Raw genomic sequence first — 24,061 nt, 5'->3', positions numbered from 1 at the left:
TTTCTTTTTTGGATTATTTTGACATTGTGGAGAGGCCTACTTTACCTACTTGGTAAAGAAACAAGAGAAAAATGTTCCTTATCCTCCTACAACCAGAACAAAGGCAAGGAAAAGCCCGCATTCATTGAAACTGAAGTCTCATCTAGCCTTTCACTGTTAGAGACTTGCAGGCATTGCTTTCTTCAATTGGTTCCACTTAAGACTCACTAGGAACTGGTGTCTGGACTTGATGCTATTCTGATGAGGCAAAGGACATCATCATCTTTGTTTTTAGCTGTTCTAGTGCAGAAAAGTCTTACCTCTAGTAACAGGAGCCTTCTGTCTTTTGCCTACTCAGCTGGCCTGGCCTCCATCCTCATCATGGAAGACAATGCCCGTATCTTGGCATCACCCTAGCCCTGCCACCAGTATCCTTGATCCCAACCACCATAATCCCTGGGATGCAACCCAGCATGGAGGTTCAGAGCAAAGATTCAAACTGATACACCTGTTCAGTCACCTTACCAACAAGCCACCAGGCTAAGTGCATCTGTGCTTTCTCATCTGTAAAAGAGATATAACCACTCTATGAAATAGGTATGCTATTAAGAATAAAAATGAGACCTCATGCTGGTCTCACTGTTAATGCATGCATTATGATGGTTCTTGATCATTTACAAGTTCTGAAGGGCAACCACTGTTTCAAAGCATTGAATTGTAATTTTGTAAACGACATTACACAGCCAAACTTTTTTTAAAAAAAAGTCACTGTGCTCTCAGAATTATGATCTAAACTCCAAAAGAGATCAAGTCCCAGACTTTCATGTAGATGACCTTCCATGTTGGTAACCACTGGAAAATGGCAGGGAAAAAAAAGAAACCAATACACTAACGGAAGGTCCATATCTTAAGAAATATGTAGACTCCTCCAAGGTGAGGAGACCAAATGCTCAAGTTTCATGCCGCACACTTAGAGTAATTCTGGCAACATATTCTATCAATGGTCCTTGCCATAGATACTGCAGTGGGTCACTCAGATCCCGCTTCCGGTCCCACTCATTCCCCTAGATGAAAATGCTGCCTGCTGTTGACTCACAGCTGAGTCCCTTCCTAGGCAATGCCTTTGGCCAAACAAGCTGACTCACCCAGGTTGCATCCCCTCCCACCCCACTAAGGCAGCCTGTATCCAATGACTAGTCCATGGCTGGGTACAAAGGCCTGGCCCCCTTGCTCAGTTCAGGACCTCTCTGAAAGGAAAACCCACTAAACCACCTACATGCAAATCTCCATTTCAGAATCTATTTTTTGAAAAGTTCAATCTTTTTTTTTTTTAACCAAAGTGATAGACATGACCCACGATAGTCCTGTGTTCAATATATTCCCAAGGTTTCTTAAGCACACCTCCAGAGACATTAGTCTAGGTAAGCTACTTCCTCTCCCCTACTTGAGGAGGATACTAGAATGCAGGTAAATGAGTGACATCACTCCACCAGACAAACCAGAGTAAATTCAAGGTTTAGTAACTAATTCATCAACTTCAGTTTGTTATTATTGGAAATATCATTTGAGAAACACCTTACAAGAGGCAGAGTTGTGAGCATATTTGGCCCTGTGGTTGAAAACACACCTCTTTTATTAGTGTGCATGATCTGACAAGGATATGAAGCCACATCCTGGACAAAAGCTGTGGTCTAGTAACCACATAAATCCTACTACTGTCGGGCAGCAGAATGTCTTAGGCACTCTGATTGGGTACTTCCCACAGTTCATAAATGTAGGTTAAAAACACTACTTGCTACTAGTGTGCAGAGAAATACCTTGTTATCTAAAACACACTATCAGACAGAGGTTGGTTAATGGATATAAAAGTGCAGCTAGACAGGAGGAATGAGTTCTGGTTCTCTGTGGCACTACAGGTTGACTATAATTCACAACAATTTATTGTATATTTTCAAATAGCTAGAAGAACAGATTTTGAATGTTTACAACACAAATAATAAACGTTTTAGGTGATGGATACATTAATTACCCTGATTTGGTCAATATACATTGTATACATATATGACACCGTGCCCCATAAATATGTACAATTATAATGTGTCCATTAAAAATAAATAAATAAAGATGCTATCAGTGTTCCACCTAGACTACTGCGAAGCACATAGCCATCCAAAAAGTTATGGGCCACGTTAACCCAACTCTACACTGACTTAAAAACATGAAAATGGACAACACTGACTTAAAAACATGAAAATGGACAACCTGTCATTTCAGAAACAAAGATATTCCAAGAAGAAGGAAAAGGAATTAAAGACATTAGAAATATTAAAATAGAGAAATCTGGTCAAACTATAAAAATATCAACATGGCTACAATATTTAGAGAAAGTAATTTTGGGCCGGGTGCAGTGGCTCACGCCTGTAATCCCAGCACTTTGGGAGGCCGAGGCAGGCGGATCACGAGGTCAGGAGATGGAGATCATCCTGGCTAACATGGTGAAACCCCGTCTCTAATAAAAAAATTAGCCGGGCCTGGTGGCAGGCGCCTGTAGTCCCAGTTACTCAGGAGGCTTAAGTAGAAGAACGGCGTGAACTTGGGAGGCGGAGCTTGCAGTGAGCCGAGATCGCGCCACTGCACTCCAGCCCGGGCGACAGAGCAAGACTCCGTCTCAAAATAAATAAATAAATAAATTAATTAATTAATTAAAAATACAAAAAATTAGCCGGGTGTGGTGGCAGGCGCCTGTAGTCCCAGCTACTCGAGAGGCTGAGCCAGGAGAATGGCGTGAACCCGGCAGGCAGAGCTTACAGTGAGCCGAGATCGCGCCACTGCACTCCAGCCTGGGTGACAGAGCGAGCGAGACTCTGTCTCAAAACAAAAAAAAAAAGAAAATAATTTTGCAGTAGTTGAATAGCTCTCAGCAATGTGAGACTGGCCAAATTTATTCTATAGGAAACCAATAAATTCAAAATATTAGTATTCCTTCAATGTTAAGGAAAAGTATCTGTTTGATAACATACAACCTTGCTTTTAATTCTTTGACAATGTCTCAGATATCGATTCTCTACCACTATTGGGGACTTTCGTCCTGTATTACACATTAAAATCACCTGTGGAATTTAAAAAAAAAAATGCCAAGGGCCCTACCAAGACCTACTGCCCTGAATTTCCAGGGTTAGGGCTCAAGCACCTCCTTTTCTTTTGAGACAGAGTCTCGCTCTGTCGCCCAGTCTGGAGTGCAGTGGCACGATCCTGGCTCAATGAAACCTCTGCCTCCCAGGTTCAAGCGATTCTCATGCCTCAGCCTCCCAAGTAGCTGAGATTACAGGCACACATCACCACATCTAGCTAATTTTTGTATTTTTTAGTAGAGACAGGGTTTTGTCATGTTGGCCAGGCTAGTCTCGAACTCTCGGCCTCCACCTGCCTTGGCCTCTCAGAGTGCTGGGATTACAGGCATGAGCCACTGCACCCGGCCTCAAGCACCTCTTTCTCAGGCGATCCTCATGCACACTAAAAGTTGAGAACACAACCATACATCATAGGCAGATATAAAAATCTATCCATCCCCTTTTTCCTAGTCAAGGGAAAAAAAACACACACACACACACTCAAAGGGGTCATATTACTTATTTAATTTAAAGTCAGTGAATACTAGATTTTCCCAAAGTCTACTGGACTTACTCCAAAAACACTGAGAGAAATTGCAAAGAGATCCATCCCCAGGGAGGCTGATTTGTATTCCTATGTGCTAATGTAAGACTAATTCTGTAAATGGATTGGTTTTGTGCCTTACTGTTAGAAATTTAATCTGTCTTCTCTTGTTTAATAGAAGAACAGATAATTACTAAGAGCCAAAGCAGTAAAAAGTGAAGAAACTGACTTAAGGTTTTTGTTCCCAATGTACATCTCCAGGGCAAAGAGGACATGAAAGATCTCTCTGGGTGGTGGTTTAAGAAACTGAGAAAAGCACCTTGAGTTCAAAGAAGAGATTTGCAATAACATTTTTACTAAATCTATGACTGAAACTAGTTTCTTTAGGCGTTTATCTCAACTTTCCATGTACTGCAAAAGCTGAGTGGAGTAGACCCACACAATCTCAATCAGAAGAAATAGATGAGTTTCAGTTTCACCTGTGTCTTCTTTGAGAAGAAAAAAACTGGTTGGCTGGGGGAAAAAGGTCTGAAAGGCAGTCGAGATAAATAAGCATCCATTTATAATCCACAATTTGTCTCGAAATATATATTCTTATATACAAAAAGAAAAAAAGTCAGAAATAGGCCAGGCACAGTGGCTCATATCTGTAATCCCAACACTTTGGGTGATTGAGATAGACAGATCATTAGGGGCCAGGAGTTCAAGACCAGCCCAGGTAACATAGTGAGACACTGTCTCTAGACAAAATAAAAATAAATGAGCCAGGTGTGGTGGCATGCACCTGTAGTTCCAGCTACTTAGGAGGCTGAGGTGGGAGGATAGCTTGAGTATGGGAGGTCAAGGCTACAGAGCCATGATCACACCACTGCACTCCAGCCTAGGCAAAAGCGAGAGAGAGCCTGTCTAAAAAAAAAAAAAAAAAAAAAAAAGTCAGAAATACACCAAAATGTTAACAATGGTAGCCTCTAAGCAATTATATTACTAAAGACTTTTATTTTCTTCTATTCTTCTGAATTTCCTAAATATTTCTACAGTGAGCACATGATATTTTCACAGACACAGAAAAGCAACACATTTTTAAAGTAAGGTAACTTATGTTCAAAATACTATCTAAATTCAGGGCCACACCAGGTGCTAGGGGGAGGGAGGTGCTGTTAGCAAGTATATAAGAAATGGTCTACACTCAAAGAGCTAAAATCTTTTATAGAGGTAAGTCATTGTCACGTAAAATGAAATACAGGAGACTACAACAGGCAATATAGATCGTCCCCTAAGGTACTCCAAAGTTCATTAGTAAGCCAGCCATATAGAAGCTGGAAAACATTTCTCCAAACAAACAATGCTACAAAGAGCGGCTAAGCTCCCAAGCAGTCCACAAAAAAACAATTCGTCTCTTAACATTTAACCTAATCCCCATGCCTAGCTATGAGGAAGAGCAAAAGGTATTCAATAAATGTTTGTTGATCACATGTGCGGGTGATATAAGTGAACTATAATACTATAGAATCTAACCAGCTCAGTGCATTGCACACAGTAGATGCACAATAAATGTCCATGGAATTTGATTTATCCTTTTTTTACGAGAATAGGCTTTCCAGCTTCAAGACATATTCTCACTCTCCTGGGGACTCTGGCAAGGAAAGAAGGTAGAAGATGCCAATCTAAAGAAATGCAAGTGCTGGGGGAAATCCCAGGAGGCTGGGTGTGGTGGTGAAGGAGGGTGGTGTGAAGCAAAATGGGCTGGGCCTCTGCTTTGAGCCCCCTTTTAGTCTAAACTGGGATCTGAGCTTTAGGACATGGCGAGGAGAGAAGACAGGAAGAGGAGAAGCTTCAGGTCCCAGAGGGGTACCACAGTGGGTGTGGTTTTTGAAACCACAGTGGGTTTGTGAAAAGAGTAAAGATGTTCACATTAAGGGTCCCAAACACTGCAGGCACATTCCCACCATCAGGATTGGCTATAGAATTTGGGGGGCCTGTTGGTCACAAATGATTAAGATCATTACAAATGATCAAGGCAACAGAGCATTAAACTAAGTGCGGGTCCTGGTCACCACAGAACCTTTGCACTTGCCCGTCTTGGCCTAGAATCCCCTCCCCCAGATCTCTGTATGTTCACTCCTCACCTCCTTTAGGTTCTCCATGAAATGTGACCTTCCCAGAAAGACCCTGTTGGACAGCACTATTTAAAATTACAGCCCCTCCCCTGGCAGATACACTCTATCCTGTCTGCTTATTTCTTCTCCAGAACATTTATTTATTACCTGACAATTATTTGTCCATTGTCTAACTCCCTCTTCCCCAGAATGTAAGTTACACAAGGGCACAGGCTTTTTTCTGCCTTGTTCAATGCTATATTCTCAGTGCCTGGAACAGTGGCTGGTACCAAGAAGACACTTAATAAATATTTGTGGGATATGAATGAAACCCAAGCTGCTTCAAGCAGCAGACCGTTCCAACAAAGACCGCATGTAAGTCACAAGTTGTTCTAGTATACACAGGCATCATTTCAAAAGGTTCGTAAGTGGAGGCCTGCTAATTCACGAATAACATGAAAAAATGAACAGCACTGAGGATAAGAACTTTTTAGTTGGGGGAAAGGGAGAAATTTGGGCTGGAGAAATCACGGAAGAATTAACACAGGAGACAGAACTCAAGCTGAGCTTTAAAAGGCAGGCAAAGAACAGGAAAGAGGAAAGGAAGTTATTCCAGTTAAGTCAATTCATGAGTACACATTTGGTTTGGTTTGCTGTCTCACTGCATATTAGCCAGAAGAAAAGTGTTCACATTAGGGAGCTTACTTATTTGTGTTTAACTTAAAAACAGAAGAAGGTTAAGCCATTAAATCTATCTTGTTGGCAACACAGATGCAGGATCTGACAGGTTAAATATTGACATGGTGAGTGATAAATATTGGCCAGCAGTATTAAAACTTTCAGCAGACCTAAAACTCCATATCTTAACCTGGAAGGATGCTTTGAATGTTCAAGGGTTCTAACAATCATAGAGCCTTTATAAAGTCGCAGTCAGAAGCAGCAATTTTGCCCACATTATTTCAACTCAACAAACATAGATAGGGCCCCTACTGTACTAGTAAGGCAGGTGGAGTTAGAACAGTAAGGCAACAGATCCTGCCCTCCAGGGATTCACAAGAGGCGGAAGCTAAGGGCTTATCGGTGATAAGCTTCAGTAAAGAGGAAGTAAAATAGCATAGCAAACTCTGAGTACTAACGATAATGGCACCAGCTTACATTTATTGGGCCCTTACTGTACTCCAGGCTCAGTGCTAAGTTCCATGCCTATTTCATTGCCTCTTCACGAGATAGGTACTAACATCATCATCATTTGACAGCTAAGGCAGGGGAAATTAACTTGCCCAAGGCAAACTGGTAACAGCAGAGCCAGAATCTGAACTCAGGTCTGCTTGACTGCAGAGCCCAGCCCCATAGCCAAGACTGTCCTGACTCCATTAATGTCATTCTTTTAGTTAAAAGAAACAAGACTTTAGGCTCTCTGAGGACAAGGAGCCATTCTGTTTACTGCTGATTCCCCAGCACTGAGCTGATCAATGAATATATGTTGGATGAACAGAAAACACAGTCGTCCCCCCTTATCCGCGGTTTTGCTTTCCATAGCATCAGTTACTTACAGTACAGTATTATGAGAGCCCACATTCATATAACATTATAGTATACTGTTGTAATTGTTCTATTTTGTTGTTGCTGTTAATCTCTTACTGTGCCTTGTTTATAAACTTTATCATTGCTCTGTGTATATAGGAAAAAAAAACATGGCATATACAGGGTTCAGTACTATCTGCATTTTCAAGCACCCACCGGGGGTCTTGAAATGTATCTCCAGTGGATAAGGTGGGACTACTGTATTCTCAGTTAGTGCTGCGTCACACACCCACCTAAAATGGATATCAGTTATTGCTCTTTTTTCCTGCCCAACATCCACTTCCTCTATTTAGGAAACCATCCCACTCCCACTCTTAGTCAACACAATTTAGGCAGAGCTGACCTCACCTTCATCTTCAGGAATGGGCAATGGATTCGAGTCTGAACAATTTGAATCAGTGATTGGCTGAAAGGTGGACACATGACCCAGTTTGCAGCAATGGGAATTTAGGTTCATGACTTGCAGCTCTCTTTCCCTTGAGTTGCTAAGCAGATAGAAGACTAGAGTTGCTGGTAGCCATTTTTCCCCAAGAGGAAAGCCTGTCTGTGAATAAAGTCAACAAAAGGAAAGCAGGATTAAGAGAAGGCAAATCCTACTTACCTTAGGTAAGCACCCAGAACAAACATTACCACCTGGAATTTTCAGTTACAGGAATCAATAGATTCCAGTTTGGGTTTTTAAGCCAGTTTGGGTTGGGTGCTTGTTGCCTGCAGCCCAGAGTCCTGATACACCACCTAAATAAAAATGGAGCCCAAGCAAGTTGGTATCACAGCCACTCCACTGAAGAAAGCAGCACACTTGCAATTATACTCAGGTATATCCACTATCTCCAAGAAGCCTGGGTTTATGAACAGAGGAGAAGAGAAGACAACAGAGAAAGTGCCTACTGCCTCTGAAATTCTGACCAGGGATGTGTTCTTTCACTAGTTTACTTATACTAAGAACTCTATCAGGTGCCAACTGAGGTATTCCCAACTCATCACCTAAAAAGAGATGGCTGCTAAGTGCTATTACTAAAAGCTTCATAAAACATGAGGCTTGGGAGGAGTCCTGCGTTGTTTTTTTTTTGTTTTTTTTTTTTTGAGGTGGAGTCTTGCTCTGTCACCCAGGCTGGAGTGCAGTGGCGCAATCTCGGCTCACTGCAACCTCTGCTTCCCGGGTTCAAGCAATTCTTCTGCCTCAGCCTCCCCAGTAGCTGGGACTACAGGCACGTGCCACCACACCCGGCTAATTATTGTATTTTTTAGTAGAGACAGGGTTTCACCGTCTTAGCCAGGATGGTCTTGATCTCCTGACCTCGTGATCCATCCACCTCGGCCTCCCAAAGTGCTGGGATTACAGGCATAAGCCACCATGCCCAGTGAGTCCTGCGTTTTCATGTCAGCTTTGCTTGCCCATCAGAGGTTCTGGCCTATACCAGCCAGATGACACTCCAAGGCAGCACTGCTCACCTACCCATCCAAAGGCAACTTCACTTTTGATTGCTAACTTATTAGTTGTTCTCTCTCTAGTGATGGATACTGAAGACTCTGAAGTGGAGGAGACTGCACCAGAAATACAACAGGGTGCACTAATGAAAGTGCCAAAGGTTGGAGAAGAAACGGGGGCAGGGAGGAAGTGTAAGAAGGTAGTACCAGATTTTATTTCCCATTCATGTCAAGTGGATCAGCTTCTGTTAAAGATTCTAGGGAGTCTCAAATGGAACTAACTCTTCCTTTCAGGAGCCACCCATGGATCAAGCAAGGATTCTTGGGAAGGCACAAGGCAAAGATGATAAAATGGTTACCCAAGGCAGATCTAGCCCACTGACAGGTTTTGTTTAACCTGCAATGTTAGCACCTAAAATCTTATTAATTTTTATTAGTTACCAACAATTAAAAATTGGAAGAGCTTTTGAGGTAGACTGACATAGTGATGGCCCCAAATTTGTTCATGTCTCTCTGTATCCAAGCACTTGGGTAAATCCACACTGACTCTGGACTTGGCCACATGAGAATAACAAACATGACCTATGCAGACTTCAAAAGCACCATTGCATCTGGCCACTGGGGCTCGCCCTCTTGCTGCTCTTGTAACTCTGAGAATGCCCACTTGGGGCTAAGCTAAGCTGCTGTATGATGACTCATAACCCAGATACACACCTCTTTCTCTCTCTCTCTCTCACACACACACACACACACACACGCACAATTAGCCAACCCCTAGAAGCAGAGCAGCCTAGGTGACCACAGCTAACCTCAGACACACGAGTGAGCTCACCCATGCCCAGCCCAAGCTGCCACCCTGCAAAATGGTGAGCTAAATCGTGGTTGTTTTAAGCCAACGTTTTGGATGGTGTTTTTAAGTGAGACAGAATCTATTTTGCCCAGGCTGGTCTCAAACTCCTGGGCTAAGGTGATCCTCCTGCCTCAACTCCCCCAGCAGCTGGGAGTACAGGCATGTGCCACCATGCCCAGCTTGGATGGTTTTCTCATGCAGAAAAAACTGAAGGAGTCCACATAAAAATACATATTCCCAATTAAAAAAAAAAATCTAAAGACCTTACAACACTGGGACCACATTCCTACAGGGCAACAACCAGCTAATGGGGGCAGTGGTTATTACCCTGACCCCAGCCATGGCATGTATTTCCCAATGTGTCTTTATCATCTTGCCCATGCTGGGGTCAAGTTCTGCTGTCATGTCATCTCAGCTGGGTGTTGATTTATGGTAAAGAAGAAAGTGAAATACTACATTCCACATACACAAGTTACTATCAAAAGTGAGAAAACCAGTACAACTACTTTGGAAAACTGTCAGTATCTACCAAGGCTAATCTATGCATACCTTATGACTCACCAATTCCACTCCCAAATGAATACTCAGGAAAAATGTGGACACATTTTTCAGAAGATGTACAAAACATTTATGGTGGCACTATATCTGAGAGTCCCAAACTGGCTATCAACAAACTAGCAACAATTCCCATCAACAGTAGATAAGATGTGGCATATTCATAGGGATCAATCTCACAGATAATGCCATACACGAGAACTCAAAGACACATGAGTATGTGCTGTTTGACTCCACTTAATATACAGTTCAAAAACAAACAAACTAAATGTGGTGTTAGAAGTCAGGTGAGGCCAGGCATGCAGGCTCACACCTGTAGTTCCAGCACTTCGGGAGGCCGAGGCGGGCAGATCACAAGGCCAGGAGTTCAAAACCAGCCTGGCCAACATAGTGAAACCCCATCTCTACCAAAGATACAAAAATGAGCAGGCCGTGGTGGTGCATGCCTGTAGTCACAGCTACTAAGGAGGCTGAGGCACAAGAATCACTTGAACCCGGGAAGTCAGGGTTGCAGTGAGCCAAGATCATGCCACCGCACTCCAGCCTAGGTTACAGGGTAAGACTCTATCTCCCAAAAAAAAAAAAAAAAAAAAAAAAAAAAGTAGTCAGGTGAGTGGTTACCCTTGGGTGGAAGAGAAGTCAGGTGAGTGGTTACCCCTGGGTGGAAGAGAAGTCAGGTGAGTGGTTACCCTTGGGTGGAAGGGAACACAGGGCAGGGGAGGTGGTTCTGACATGCTGGTGATGCTGCCCTGTGACCTGGCTGCTGTTTACATGGATGTGTACACTTGAAAATTCATCAAGCTGTGTATTTAGGCCCTTGTAAAGGTCAATACATAGTTTGAGCTTAAAAACTTTTAAAAGTGGGAAAACAAGACCAAGATGGCCATGTTTAAAGACAATTCCTACATGTTTAATTGTGACAAAAAGAACAGCTGCCACTATGAAACGAATTATAAAGCTATGACCAGAACACATAAAAACACCTGATGAGCTGGGAGAAAAGACCTAATGTGCAACACCCAGCCTACCTCACTCACGTGCATTACCTGCCTTAGCCCTGTGGGCTCTGGGGCTTGCAACCACTGACACAGGAATCCAAGCCTTTTCCATAAACCTTGTCATCATTTATCAGCCTGGAGAGAAGGAGTAGGTTTATTATCTAAAAATCAGTTACTTTCCTAATGCTCATCTACAGATTAGTTGAAAATAGCCACTGGAGAGAGTTGTTGGGAGAAATGAAGACGATAATGTCTCTAAACCCTTAAGACAGTACCAAGGAGACAGTTTACGCACACAATGAATTATAACTTTATTTATAGCAGTGTTACTAATGATTGCAAAGTCTTGTTTTCATTTTTTATTTTTTGAGATGGAATTTTGCTCTTGTTGCCCAGACTGGAGTGCAATGGCACGATCTCGGCTCACCACAACCTCCGCCTCCTGGGTTCAAGAGATTCTCCTGCCTCAGCCTCCTGAGTAGCTGGGATTACAGGCACCCACCACCATGCCTGGCTAATTTTGTATTTTTAGTAGAGACAGAGTTTCTCCTTGTTGGTTAGGCTGGTCTCGAACTCCTGACCTCAGGTGATCTGCCCACCTCAGCCTCCCAAAGTGCTGGGATTACAGGTATGAGCCACCAGGCCCAGCCTTTTTTTTTTTTTTTTTTTTTGAGACAGGGTTTCGCTCTGTCACCTAGGCCGGAGTGCAGTGGTGTGATCCCGGCTCACTGCATCCTCGACCTCCTGGCCTCAATCAATCCTCCCACATCAGCCTCCCAGGTAGTGAGGACTACAGGAACATGCCACCACGCTGGCCAATTTTTGTAGAGATGGGGTTTCTCTACGTTGCCCAGGTTGGTTTTGAGCTCCTGAGCTCAAGAGATCCATCCACCCACCTCAGCCTCCCAAAGTGCTAGGATTACAGGCATGAGCCACCTTGCCCAGCCACAAAGTTTGCTTTTTGCCTGCTTTTGACAGGGTCTTGCTGTGTCACCCAGGCTGGAGTGCAGTGGTGCAATCATGGCTCACTGCAGCCTCAGCCTCCTGGGTTCAAGCGATCCTCCCACCTCAGCCTCCCAAGTAGCTAGAACTAAAGGGGTGCACCACCACACCTAGCTAAATTTTTTAAATTTTTTGTAGAACCAGGGTTTCACTATGTTGCCCAGGCTGGTCTTGAACTCCTGGGCTCAAGCAATCCTCCTGGCTTGGCCTCCAAAGTGGTGGGATTACAGGTGTGTACCACCACACCTGGCCTACAAAGTCCTCTTTAAAATTAGAGGTGCCCCAAAAGTTGTATGCTACTCATAGAGAACCTAGTAGTACCTAATGTGGTGATTCTGAAGGGGGCAGAGGAGACCAGGGAAATGAATTCCAGGAAGACAGGGAAGGCCTTTTCCAACAACATGAAATAGATTCAGATGTACCCTCCAGATTCTCCAGTATGCAGGTCCCTTCTATTTTCAGAATACTACAGACCCTTGAACAACATGGGTTTGAACCGCGTGGGTCCACTTGTATGCAGGTTTTTTCCATAAACGTTGCATCGAATGTGCCTGCCTCTCCTTGCACCTCTGCCACCACTATGACAGCAAGACCAATCCCTCCTTCGTAGCAGCAGCAGCAGCCTACCCAGCATGAAGGCAATGAGAATGATGGCCTTTGTGATGAGCCACTTTCACTTAATGAATAGTAAATACATTTTCTCTTATAATTTTCTTAATGACACTTTCTCCTCTAGCTTACTTTATTATAATGCTACAGTATATAACACACAGAAGATACAAAATATGTGTTAACTGACTTATCTATAAGGCTTCTGGTCAACAGTAGGCTATTCGTAGTTAAGTTTTGGGAGAGTCAAAAGTTATACACAGATTTTTGACTGCAAGGAGGTCAGTTCTCCTAACCCCCCAGGTTGTTCAAAGGTCAACTGTACATGATTTGCTTCTTTACTATTTTTGGCATCAATGCCTATACCTCTAAGGTGTTACAAATGGAAAGCCTTGAGAATCAGGACCTTAAACCAAAGGAGGCTATACAGTAGAGTATAATGTCTTAAACTTGCCTGATCATACCAGTCATCAGATTTCAGGGCCCCTTCCCTGGTGATGGAGTTAGCAGGTCTGGGGAGGGCCCAGAACCTATATTATAACCAAGCCTCAAGTGATTCTTATGCCAACTCAAGTTCACGTGGTGAAACTTGGAGTTGAAAAGACCTGGATCCAAATTCAATCCCCAGAATCTATCAGTGGGGTAATGCTGGGCAAGTTACAGAGAATCTCTGAGTTTCTTCATTTGTAAAAGGAGAGTTAAAATCTACCTCACAGGATTGTTATATTCGAATTAGGGCAGAGCACAGGACTAAACACTTGGTAAAAACTCAAATAGTAGCTATTAATGCTATTTGAGTAAACTACATATTACATAAAATAATAGGCCATTATTTCTTGAAACAGCTTGCCACTTAAAAGAATTATTCTCGGCCGGGCGCGGTGGCTCACGCCTGTAATCCCAGCACTTAGGGAGGCCGAGGCGGGCGGATCACGAGGTCAGGAGATCGAGACCATCCTGGCTAACACAGTGAAACCCCATCTCTACTAAAAATACAAAAAGAAATTAGCCGGGCGTGGTGGTGGGCGCCTGTTAGTCCCAGCTACTGGGGAGGCTGAGGCAGGAGAATGGCGTGAACCTAGGAGGCGGAACTTGCAGTGAGCCGAGATCGCGCCACTGCAACTCCAGCCTGGGCGACAGAGCGAGCGAGACTCCGTCTCAAAAAAAAAAAAAAAAAAAAAGAATGATTCTCAATTGGGAGGATCACTTGGGCCCAGGAGTTTGAGACCAGACTGGGCAATACAGGGAGACCTTGTCTCTACCAAAAAATTTAAAAAATTAGCTGAGTGTGGTGGCGCATGCGTGTAGTCCCAGCTACGCGGGATGCTGAGGGAAGAGGATGGCTTGAGCCAGGCAGTTTGAGGCTGCAGTGGGCCGGGAGAGCAACAGTACACTCTAGCCTGGGCAACAGAGCAAGACCCTGTCTCAGAAAAGAAAGAAAGAAAGAAAAAAAAAAAAAAACAGGAAAAAAAAAAGTGGGTTCCCAATTGTAAAGCTGTAGGGACTTCCTTTGGGCCTAATTTAAATCAAACCATTAGAACCTGGAGCCTTGTCCTCTTAACCTGGGAGCCACGGATGCATTTCAGGTGTTCTTGATTTTCCCAACTTTCTGAAGGGGATTATTTTTAACGGACACAGGGTCCCCAGCTTCCTCCAGATTCTCCAAGGTATCCACGCCCCACAAAAAGATAAGAAACTCTATCCTAATGAAAGTGCCCAGGAGATTCTTCCTCCTCTTCTTCCTTTTTTTCTGAGATAATTTTTTTGAATACGTGCACGGTTACAAAAATTAAATAGTGCAAACAGTATACAAAGGTAAAATTACTTCCTATCCATCATCTGGGTCCTCCTTTTCAAAGGCAACCTTTGTTCAAAGTTTAGGTAGCCTTCAAGAGCAGGATTTCTCAACCCCACACTTACTGATATTTTGTCCTGGATAATTTTTTTGTGCGTGGTGTCCTGTACACTGTAGGATGTTCAGGAGCATCTCTGGCCTCTACCCACTAGATGCCCAGTAACATGCACACATACACACCCCGATGAGGCACCCAAAAATGTCTGCAGACACTGCCACATCTGGGGGAACAAAATCGCCCTGGTTGGGAAGTGCTGCTTCCAGAAAGACCCCTATGCAAGCACAAACATTGGTGTTTGTGCGTCTACTCATTTTCTCGGGCAACTAGTGGCACACAGTTACTCTCCAAATCACTGCAGGGGTTTGTCCTGGGGGCGGGGGCCGGCGCAGGCATGGGCGGGGGGGAGGCGACGGCCACTCACCAGGTCGCGGATGAGCTGGTCCACCAGCTGCTCCCCGCCCCCGGCGCCCTCGCGGGCCAGAGGAGAACGTGAGCGGCTCGCTACGTCCTGCCCCTCGGCCCGAGTCGCCCGCGCCGCCGGGGGCCTCCCCGCGCCCTCCAGGAGACGCTGGGCCAGCGCCGGGTCCCCCGAGGCCTGTTCGCCGCGCCCGGAGCCCACCTCCGGCCGCCGAGCCCGCCTCTCGGCAGCCTCGGGCCGTCGCCGCTTCTTCGGCGCCTGGGCCTGCGCCAGCTCCTCCTGCCAGCGCCGACGGAACTCATCCAGGCTGTAGTCGTCCATATTCGCCGCTCCCGGCGCTCCACGTTCTCCTCGGTTCCACCGGGTGCCACGAGACAGTCCCGCCCAGGGAAGTGTCCGCCGCGGCCGGAAGCCGCTGCCGCCGCCGCTCTAGGGTTCCGGGTGGGCGTCCACGCCCCCGCCACGCCCCCGGCGCTGCCCCTGTACGCACGTGGTGGTCCGGCTTGTGGCTTGTGGCGCCCAAAGCAGAGGTTTACGCAGCTGCCCCTCAGCCCGTCAGCTCTGCTGCCTATCACTTTTGCTAAGCTCTGACTTTGCGCCAAGCATTGTTCCTTCATTCAACAAACATTCATTCAGCAACTACTATATGCCAGGCACCAAGAATTCAGCATTTAAATCTGTAAAACAAAACAAAAACTCTGACGTCTTGGAGCATGCGTTTAAGTAGGGAGACTTTAAACAAAGAAATATGAACATTTAAATCAGTGATAGGTATTAGGAAGAAAACAAAATAAGGTAAGGTAAGGGGAGTAAGGATTGATAGTGAAAGTCTGTTTAAGATGTTATTTAAATTAAAATCTAAAAGAGAATCAACAGGTGGATAAAGAAACTGATATATACATATGGTGGAATACTACTCAGCCATAAAAAAGGAATGAATTCATGGCATTCGTAGCAACCTGGATGGGATTGGAGACTATTATTCTAAGTGAAGTAACTCAGGAATGGAAAACCAAACATCGTATGTTCTCACATATAAGTGGGAGCTAAGCTACGAGGATGCAAAAGCATAAGAATGACTTATGGGACTTTGGAACAGGGGAGGGGGACGAGGGGAGGGTGGGAAGGTGGGGAGGGATAAAAGACTATAACTTGGGTTCAGTGTATACTGCTCGGGTGATGCGTGCACCAAAATCTCACAAATCACCACTAAAGAACTTACTCATGTAACCAAATACCACCTGTTCCCAATAACCTGTGGAAATAAAAATTTTTTTTTAAAAATCTGAAAGAGAAACCAGCCAAGGGAAGGTCAGATCTTAGGAGAGAGATTTCCAGAAGGAAATCCAAGGGCTTTAAGATGGGAAAGAAAATGACATACGATGGCGTTCCACTTAAAAATGTTTTCTTTGCACCTGATATTCCCTCAGCAGGGAACTTTTCCCCCCACCTTGACTTGGTTAACTCCTACACATCTTTCATATCTCAACTCACATTTCACTTAATCTTCCAACCTCCACTCAAGAAACATCAGGTATCCCTGTTACTCATTCTCACAGCATCCTGTACTTCTCATCATAATACATAACACAATTTGTAATTTTATTTTTATGTATATATATATATCCCTTCCCTTCTAGATTGGCAACTCTTAGCTTTGAGACTGGTGATTAATACATGCTCAATAAATGGTTTTTTGTTTGTTTGTTTGTTTGGTTTGTTTTGTTTTTGAGACGGAGTCTCGCTCTGTTGCCCAGGCTGGAGTGCAGTGGCGCGATCTCGGCTCGCTGGAAGCTCCGCCTCCCGGGTTCACGCCATTCTCCTGCCTCAGCCTCCTGAGTAGCTAGGACTACAGGTGCCCGCCACCACACCTGGCTAAGTTTTTGTATTTTTAGTAGAGATAGGGTTTCACCATGTTGGCCAGACTAGTCTTGAACTCCTGACCTCAAGTGATCCACCCACCTCAGCCTCCCAAAGTGCTGGGGTTACAGGTGTGAGCCACCACTCCAGGCTCAAAGATGCTCTTGCAATTAACTGTCCCTTATTCCTTGTCTAACTCTTCTTAGTCTCTCAGGCCTCTTCTCTAGAATCACTTCTGTAAATAAACTAGCTGCCTACAAACCCAGGGCTCAGGCTTGCTTACTGTGGGAAACCAGGCTTGGACAACCTTCACTGTAGAAAATTAGAGTATATGGTTGGGCGTATATTCACACCACTACACTCCAGCTTGGGCGACAGTGCGAGACTCTGTCTCAAAAAAACAAAAAAAAGAAAGAGCATCTCTGAGTTGGTCCTACTGTGGCAATTTAGGCTCATTCCATTAGCACCTTCTAAGGAGCCTTAGAACACAGCTCAGAATTGTCCTCCCAAGAGATAAGAGCCAGAAGAGGAAAGCATTTGTCCAGTGACTCTCATCCCCTACTAGAGAAAGGCTAAGCCAAGGAGCTTTAACAACCTCCCACTTCTAGATTGGGTATAAGTAAACGGATTATCATGGATGTTCCGTACCAAGGCAGCAGAGATGCTCTGGGGCAAAAAGCAGGAGGTACACTGTGCAGCTAACAGGAACGACTGTCAGGTTACACGTGCACAAAGCCAGTTGCTACAGCAGTGACTAAGGTAAAAGATGAGTGAAGTGATGCAAGATGGAACATAAGCATCCAATACAAGTAAGCATTCTCTTTTTTTTCCGTAAAGGTTTTATTATACACAGAAGGGGAAGAAGTCTCAGTTCTTCTTGGCAGCCATTCGCTTCCTGGAGGTCAAGATATTGCCCAGCTCCTCTCACTTCTTATGGTGCAGATGTGTGTCCCCGCTCTCTTCTTGATGAACTTGAGGGTCCACTTTTTCTTGGAGACCTTGAACAATTCCAAGGTGCATCACTTATATAGAACAAAGCCACACACCTCTCACATCATGTCCCACACGAACTTTCTGTGCTTGGTGGGGTGCCTGCGGTGGCAGCAGTGGCCATGCTTGCTCACATTCTTGGTCCTCACCTTGTGGCCCTCACTGAGACCCACAGACATGGGAGACCACAGAAACATGGCTGCTGCTCATCAGTGGCTGCTGCCAATAAATATTATTGTAATAAAAATAAAAACGAGCTAATTTTTCCCCATTCCGCTAGCATCCCATTCATCCCATGTGCCTTCCATGTGAAATCCAAAGGTCATACTTACTTTGATTATCTACTTGCAAGTCAAAAGCCAAATATCACTTTTCTGGTATCTCTAGATTTTATGGACCATCTAACACTTAAAACAGAAAGCAAACTGGAATTAAAAAAAATGGGGTCTCACTCTGTCACTCAGGCTGGAATGCAGTGGCATGATCGTAGCTCACTGCAGCCTCGAACTCCTGGGCTCAAGTGATCCTCCTGCCTCAGCCTCCCAAGTAGCTGGAACTACAGGAGCATGCCACTATCTCAGACTAATGTTTAAGTTTTTAGTAGAGATGAAGTTGGTCAAATGGTTGGTCTTGAACTCCTGGCCTCAAGCGATCCTCCCACCTCGGGGGATTACAAGCATTAGGCCCCAAGCCCAGGCTCAAACTGGAAAATTTTAAACACCCAATTTTCCAGGCTCAAACTGGAAAATTTTAAACACCCAAGCTGGTCAAGATCAATTTTAAACACCCAAGCTGGTCAAGACCACCCAAGCTGGTCAAGATCAATGTTTCCTGTTGCCCCTTTAAAAGAACTTTTACAGGGACAGTGCAGGCAGGCTAATGGGACCATTAGTCACCCAGAGAAAATGAAAAAGAGAGAGAGAGAGAAGCATGCTAAGAAGAAGGAAAATATTGTCTTTTTTTTTAGTATTGCCTACCATTCACTGACTATATTTATGTTGATTTTATATCTTTCCAGTAGTAAATTCCTGGACCTCCATTTCCTCAAATGAAAAGTAAAGATAGAAATATCTTTCTTTCAGAATAACTGTAAGACTGATAAAATGCCTATAAAACTCTTAGCATCCATAAAACATAATGTAGGCTTTTAATAAATGATGTCTATGATCCACATTAATACAGTCTTGGCAGATAGAGATTGCATCTAACCTGTGCTCTGTAAGTCTTGTATTCCACAGGGCCCCACCTTTTATCACATTGAGGGTATACTTTTGCAAGCTCAATCTGTTAAAGTTCTTTGTTTGCAAGCAACAGACGCCAAGTCTTTCTACCTTAAGAAAAAGGGAATTAAACTCAGAGGATGGCTCACCAAGTTAAACAAAAAGAGGAATAACCAGACCCTTGGAATGCCAAGAACCAGATCAGATTTAGGGATTTCATCATGGGAACTGTGAACCATCTCTGTAGGATGGGATCGCTGCCTGTCTTTCATTTCCTAGGATTCAAATTCCGAGAGCAGAGGTTCTCAGAATGTAGCCCCTGAACCAGCAATACCTGGGAGCTTGTTTGGAATGCAAATTCTCAGCCCAGACCACTAAATTGGAAACGCTAGGGGTCCAACCCCAGCAATTTTGATTTTAACAATCCCTCCCTGTAATTCTGATGCATAACCCAGTTTGAGAACCACTCTCCTGGAGGACCATCTGATTGGCCTAAGGCAGTCATATTTCCAGCTCTTGGGAGAACAGGGAGCGGTTTACAATGTCCTGGATTTCCAGGATTTCCATGCCACCATGCCTTGCTAATTTTTCAATTTTTTTTGCAGAGACATGGTCTTCCTATGTTGTCCAGGCTGGTCTCGGACTCCTGGCCTCAAGCAATCTTCTCACCTCAGCCTGCTGAGCTGCTGGGATTTCAGGCATAAGCCACCATGCCCAGCCTGCCTCCCTCTTAGAAGGATACTTGTGATTACTAAGGGCCCACCTGGCAATCCAGGATAACCTTCCCTATCTCAAGATCCTTAATGTAGTGACATTGGCAAAAAACTTTATTTATTTATTTATTTATTTATTTATTTATTTATTTATTATTGAGACAGAGTCTCGCTCTGGAGTGCAGTGGCACGATCCCAGCTCACTGCAATCTCTGCCACCCTGATTCAAGCAATTCTCATGCCTCAGCCTCCAGAGTACATGGGATTACAGGTGCCCACTACCACGCCCAGCTAATTTTTTGTATTTTTAGTAGAGACGGGGTTTCACCATGTTGGCCAGGCTAGTCTTGAACTCTTGGCCTCAAGTGACCCGCCTGCCTTGGTCTCTCAATGTGCTGGGATTACAGGCGCAAGCAAGCACACCTGGCCAACATTTGCAAAAATCTTTTGCCATTTAAGGTAACATTCACAGGTTCCACGGATTAGGACTTGGATATTTTTGAGGGGCCATTATTCAGCCTACAGCAGCTGGACTTCAGTAACCACAGACTCAAATGCCTACAGATGACCCCAGGAAACAAAAGTGGGACAAATGGGCCAGGCGTGGACTGTAACAAACTGGAGAACGGATGTCCATGTACGGCGCAAAGCCAATTTTTTTTTTTTTTGAGACAGAGTTTCGCTCCTGTTGCCCAGGCTGGAGTGCAATGGCATGATCTCAGCTCACTGCAACCTCCACCTCCCGGGTTCAAGAGATTCTTCCGCTTCAGCCTCCCGAGTAGCTGGAATTACAGGCATTCGCCACTACGCCTGGCTAATTTTTTGCATTTTTAGTAGAGATGGGGTTTCACCATGTTGGCCAGGCTAGTCTAGAACTCCTGACCTCAGGTGATCCACCCACCTTGGCCTCCCAAAGTGCTGGGATTACAGGTGTGAGCCACCACGCCCAGCCACACAAAGCCAATATTACTCTCCTCTACTCAATTGTTGCATCTTAGCCCACATCTTCCAAAATTCAATGTCTTGATTTTTAATTATGAAAAATGACCATTGTTAGCAACTAATTTCATTTTTTAAACAAAGATGTTTATCTAAAAGTGTACATTGCATTCAGTACCTTCAAAGCAACCAGTAGCTGTATGCAGTGGCTCATACCTGTAAACCCAATGCCTTGGGAGACTGAGGCGGGAGAATGGCTAGAGACCAGGAGTTCAAGACCAGCCTGGGCAACATAGTGATGCCCCATCTTTACAAAATATAAAAAATTACAATTAACCAGACATGATGGTACATGCCTATAGTCCTAGCTACTCGGGAGACTGAGGCAAGAGGATCCCTAGAGCCCAGGAGTCTGAGGTTGCAGTGAGCTGTGATCATTCCACTGCACTCCGACAGAGCAAGACCCTCTCTCTTAAAAAAAAAAAAAAAAAAAAAAAAAAAAAAAAAAAGCGGCCGGACACGGTGGCTCACGCCTGTAATCCCAGCACTTTGGGAGGCCAAGGTGGGTAGATCACCTGAGGTCAGGAGTTTGAGACCAGCCTGGCCAACATAGCGAAACCCCATCTCTACTAAAAATACAAATATCAGCAGGTCATGGTGGCACGTTCCTGTAATCCCAGCCACTCAGGAGGCTAAGGCATAAGAATCGCTTAAACCCGGGAGGCGAAGGTTACAGTGAGATGAGATCGCGCCACTGCACTCTAGCCTGGGGGACCGAGTGAGATTCCATTTCGAAAAAGAAAAAGGAAAAAAAAAAGCAAACAAGCAAACGGTAGTTTATTCTTGAACAAGCCATGAGTTGAGTCAAAACTCCCTTCAACTTACATTGCTACTTCCTCCCCTCTTGTAAGTAGCGACTGAAGAATCACACCTCATTTGGGATCACTAATGTGTGAGCATCAGGAAATTAATATGAAAATGAAAATAAGAAATGGTGATGATTTCTAAGTACATTGTTTAGAAACATGAACAGAACATCGCAATGATGTGAGTGGCCATTCTGAATGTCAGCCTTACCTGGATGCATCCCTTGCTGTAGACATGATTTATGCTTTCATATTAGCAAAATATAAAATTCTGCAAAAAAAATTTTTTTTAACTGGGCTTGAAATAAAAGAAAAACGATCTGTAGCAAAAAAAAAAAAAAATTTCCTTGTTCTTGAGAACTTTCCCATCAATAATTCCATTTTTTAAAAAATGCTGCACAGACGGGATTCAGCGTCAGCTGCCACTTACAGACTTAGTCATTCAAAAGAAGCTTGTCCCATATGGACCCAACTCTCTTCCCACCTCTCTTTCTCTCTCTTCAACCCCCTCTTGCTTTTATTAAAGCCCCTTCCCTTTTCATTTCTCCAGTCTGGTTCCAAAATCTTTCCCTCTGAAAGTGTTACCCTCCCCTGGAGAAAAAAACGTGTTCCATCCTTGGGTCTCTCGCTCTCTCTCACCTCTTGCATCTTTTTATTTGTCTTGAGAATTCACTTCCAGCCTGATGCTCATGAGAGACACTTTGCTCAGTTACTGCTGGCGCCGAAGGAGGAGGCAATGGCTTGGGTCCCCAGGATAAGTGCCCAGACTCCAGCTCAGACCCTGGGACAGCAAGAGCCAATTTCCTTGCCTGTCTACTTAAGAGGCAAGGCACCAGGGCAAGCTTGTGCAGCCATCCTAGTCTGGGCTCACATGAAGCAGAGATACTCCTGTCATTAGTATGACTTTAACTCTCACTCCTATGAAACAAAGAACCTCAAAATTGTTTATTTATTTATTTATTTATTTATTTATTTAGAGACAGAGTCTCACTCTGTCACTCAGGCTGGAGTGCAGTGGCGTGATCTTGGCTTACTGCAACCTCCGCCTCCCAGGTTCAAGCAATTCTCCTGTCTCAGCCTCCCGAGTAGCTGGGACTACAGTTGCCCGCCACCACGCCTGGCTAATTTTTGTATTTTTAGTAGAGACGGGGTTTCACCATATTAGTCAGGCTGGTCTCCAACTCCCGACCTTAGGTGACCCACTCACCTCGGCCTCCCAAAGTGCTGGGATTACAGGCGTGAGCCACCGCGCCTGGCCTCAAAATTATTTTCTTTATTCCAAGTCATCCCTCCCAATTTATTAAATTTCAAATTATTCCTCTCATCTTATTTCTTTGCAATCCAACTAAGTTTTTCCCATCTCAGCACATGATGACACTACGTTGATGCTTCAGCCAAGAACTTGAGTTCTCACTCTCCCTCACCTCTCACATCAAGGGCTGATAATTTTTTTTTTGTTTTTGAGATGGAGTCTTGCTCTGTCATCCAGGCTGGAGTGCAGTGGTGGAATCTCTGCTTACTGCAACCTCCACCTCCCGGGTTCACGCCACTCTCTTACCTCAGCCTCCTGAGTAGCTGGGATTACAGATGCCCGCCACCAGGTCCGGCTAATTTTTGTATTTTTAGTAGAGACTGGGTTTCACCGTGTTGGCCAGGCTGGTCTCGAACTCCTGGTCTCAGGTGATCTGCCCATCTCGGCCTCTGAAAGTGCTGGGATTACAGGCATGAGCCACTGTGCCCAGCTCAAGTCAAGATAATTCTACTTTCAAAATATATTTTGAGGCCAGGCAAGGTGGCTCACATTTATAATCCCAGCAATTTGGGGGGCTGAGGCAGGAAGATCGCACGGGCCTCAGGAGTTTGAGACCAGCCTGGGCAACATAGGACAACCTTATCTTTAAAAATAATAATTAAAAAAATTAACCAGGAGTAGTGGTGCATGCCTGTAGCCCCAGCTACTAGGGAGGCTGAAGTCAGAGGATTGACTGAGCCCAGGAGTTCAAGGCTGCAGTGAGCTGAGATTGCACCACTGCACTCCAGCCTGGGAGACAGAGCAAGCCCCTGTCAAAAAAAAAAAAAAAAAAAAAAAAAGAAAAGAAAGTAAGAAAACAAAACAAAGAAAAACTGTATCTTCAATCTGTTCACTTCTCTTCTCTCTATCTCCCTCACCACCATCCTAGTCCAAGGAAGGTCACCAGGTAAAATGCAAGACACATAGTTAAAATGGAATTTCAGACAGACAATGAATTATTTTAGTGTAAGTATACCCATGCAAAATTTAAATTTTAGATAAGCAAAGAATAATTTTGTCCTATGCAATATTTGGGATATATTATACTAAAAATATTCTTTGCTTATCTGAAATTCAAATTTAACTGGGCATCCTGTATTTCTCTTTGCTAAATCTGACAACCCCCTAAATCCAAGGCACCGTCATGGAGTCT

At 44.3% G+C, this 24,061-nt stretch overlaps 1 protein-coding gene and 1 pseudogene across 7 annotated transcripts in view, besides 2 other annotated features; both read right to left on the bottom strand.

Moving 5' to 3' along the window:
- The window catches only part of FBXW8 (F-box and WD repeat domain containing 8), a 120,199-nt gene extending 104,761 nt beyond the window's left edge, over nucleotides 1-15,438 (bottom strand). For 2 of the 7 annotated variants that reach the window (XR_001748654.1, XM_017019176.2), the window contains exons 1-2: nucleotides 15,231-15,438; nucleotides 7,657-7,857 (exon numbers count right to left, since the gene is read on the bottom strand). Coding sequence is in view for 5 of the 7 variants with exons in the window: in XM_017019176.2 (XP_016874665.1) it covers nucleotides 7,657-7,857; nucleotides 15,231-15,350 (321 nt within the window). In the remaining 2 variants the exon portion in view is untranslated. Of the gene's footprint in view, nucleotides 1-7,656; nucleotides 7,858-15,032 lie in introns of those variants that run through there. The other 5 variants (XR_007063065.1, NM_012174.2, XM_024448937.2 and 2 more) reach the window with 4 other exon arrangements.
- Nucleotides 14,971-15,230: a silencer, noted in NCBI's record as "silent region_4909". NCBI's record gives its function as "represses an Ori minimal core promoter by ATAC-STARR-seq in GM12878 lymphoblastoid cells {active_cell/tissue: GM12878}" and the evidence as "EXISTENCE:reporter gene assay evidence [ECO:0000049][PMID:35858748]".
- Nucleotides 15,391-15,610: a silencer, noted in NCBI's record as "silent region_4908". NCBI's record gives its function as "represses an Ori minimal core promoter by ATAC-STARR-seq in GM12878 lymphoblastoid cells {active_cell/tissue: GM12878}" and the evidence as "EXISTENCE:reporter gene assay evidence [ECO:0000049][PMID:35858748]".
- On the bottom strand, nucleotides 17,757-18,076 carry RPL36P15 (ribosomal protein L36 pseudogene 15; annotated as a pseudogene).

Source organism: Homo sapiens, chromosome 12 (assembly GCF_000001405.40).
Source record: "Homo sapiens chromosome 12, GRCh38.p14 Primary Assembly".
Classification (NCBI taxonomy): Eukaryota; Metazoa; Chordata; class Mammalia; order Primates; family Hominidae; genus Homo; species Homo sapiens.
The sequence above is the reverse complement of the archived record's forward strand: the minus strand, read 5'-3'. Positions and strand labels throughout refer to the sequence as shown.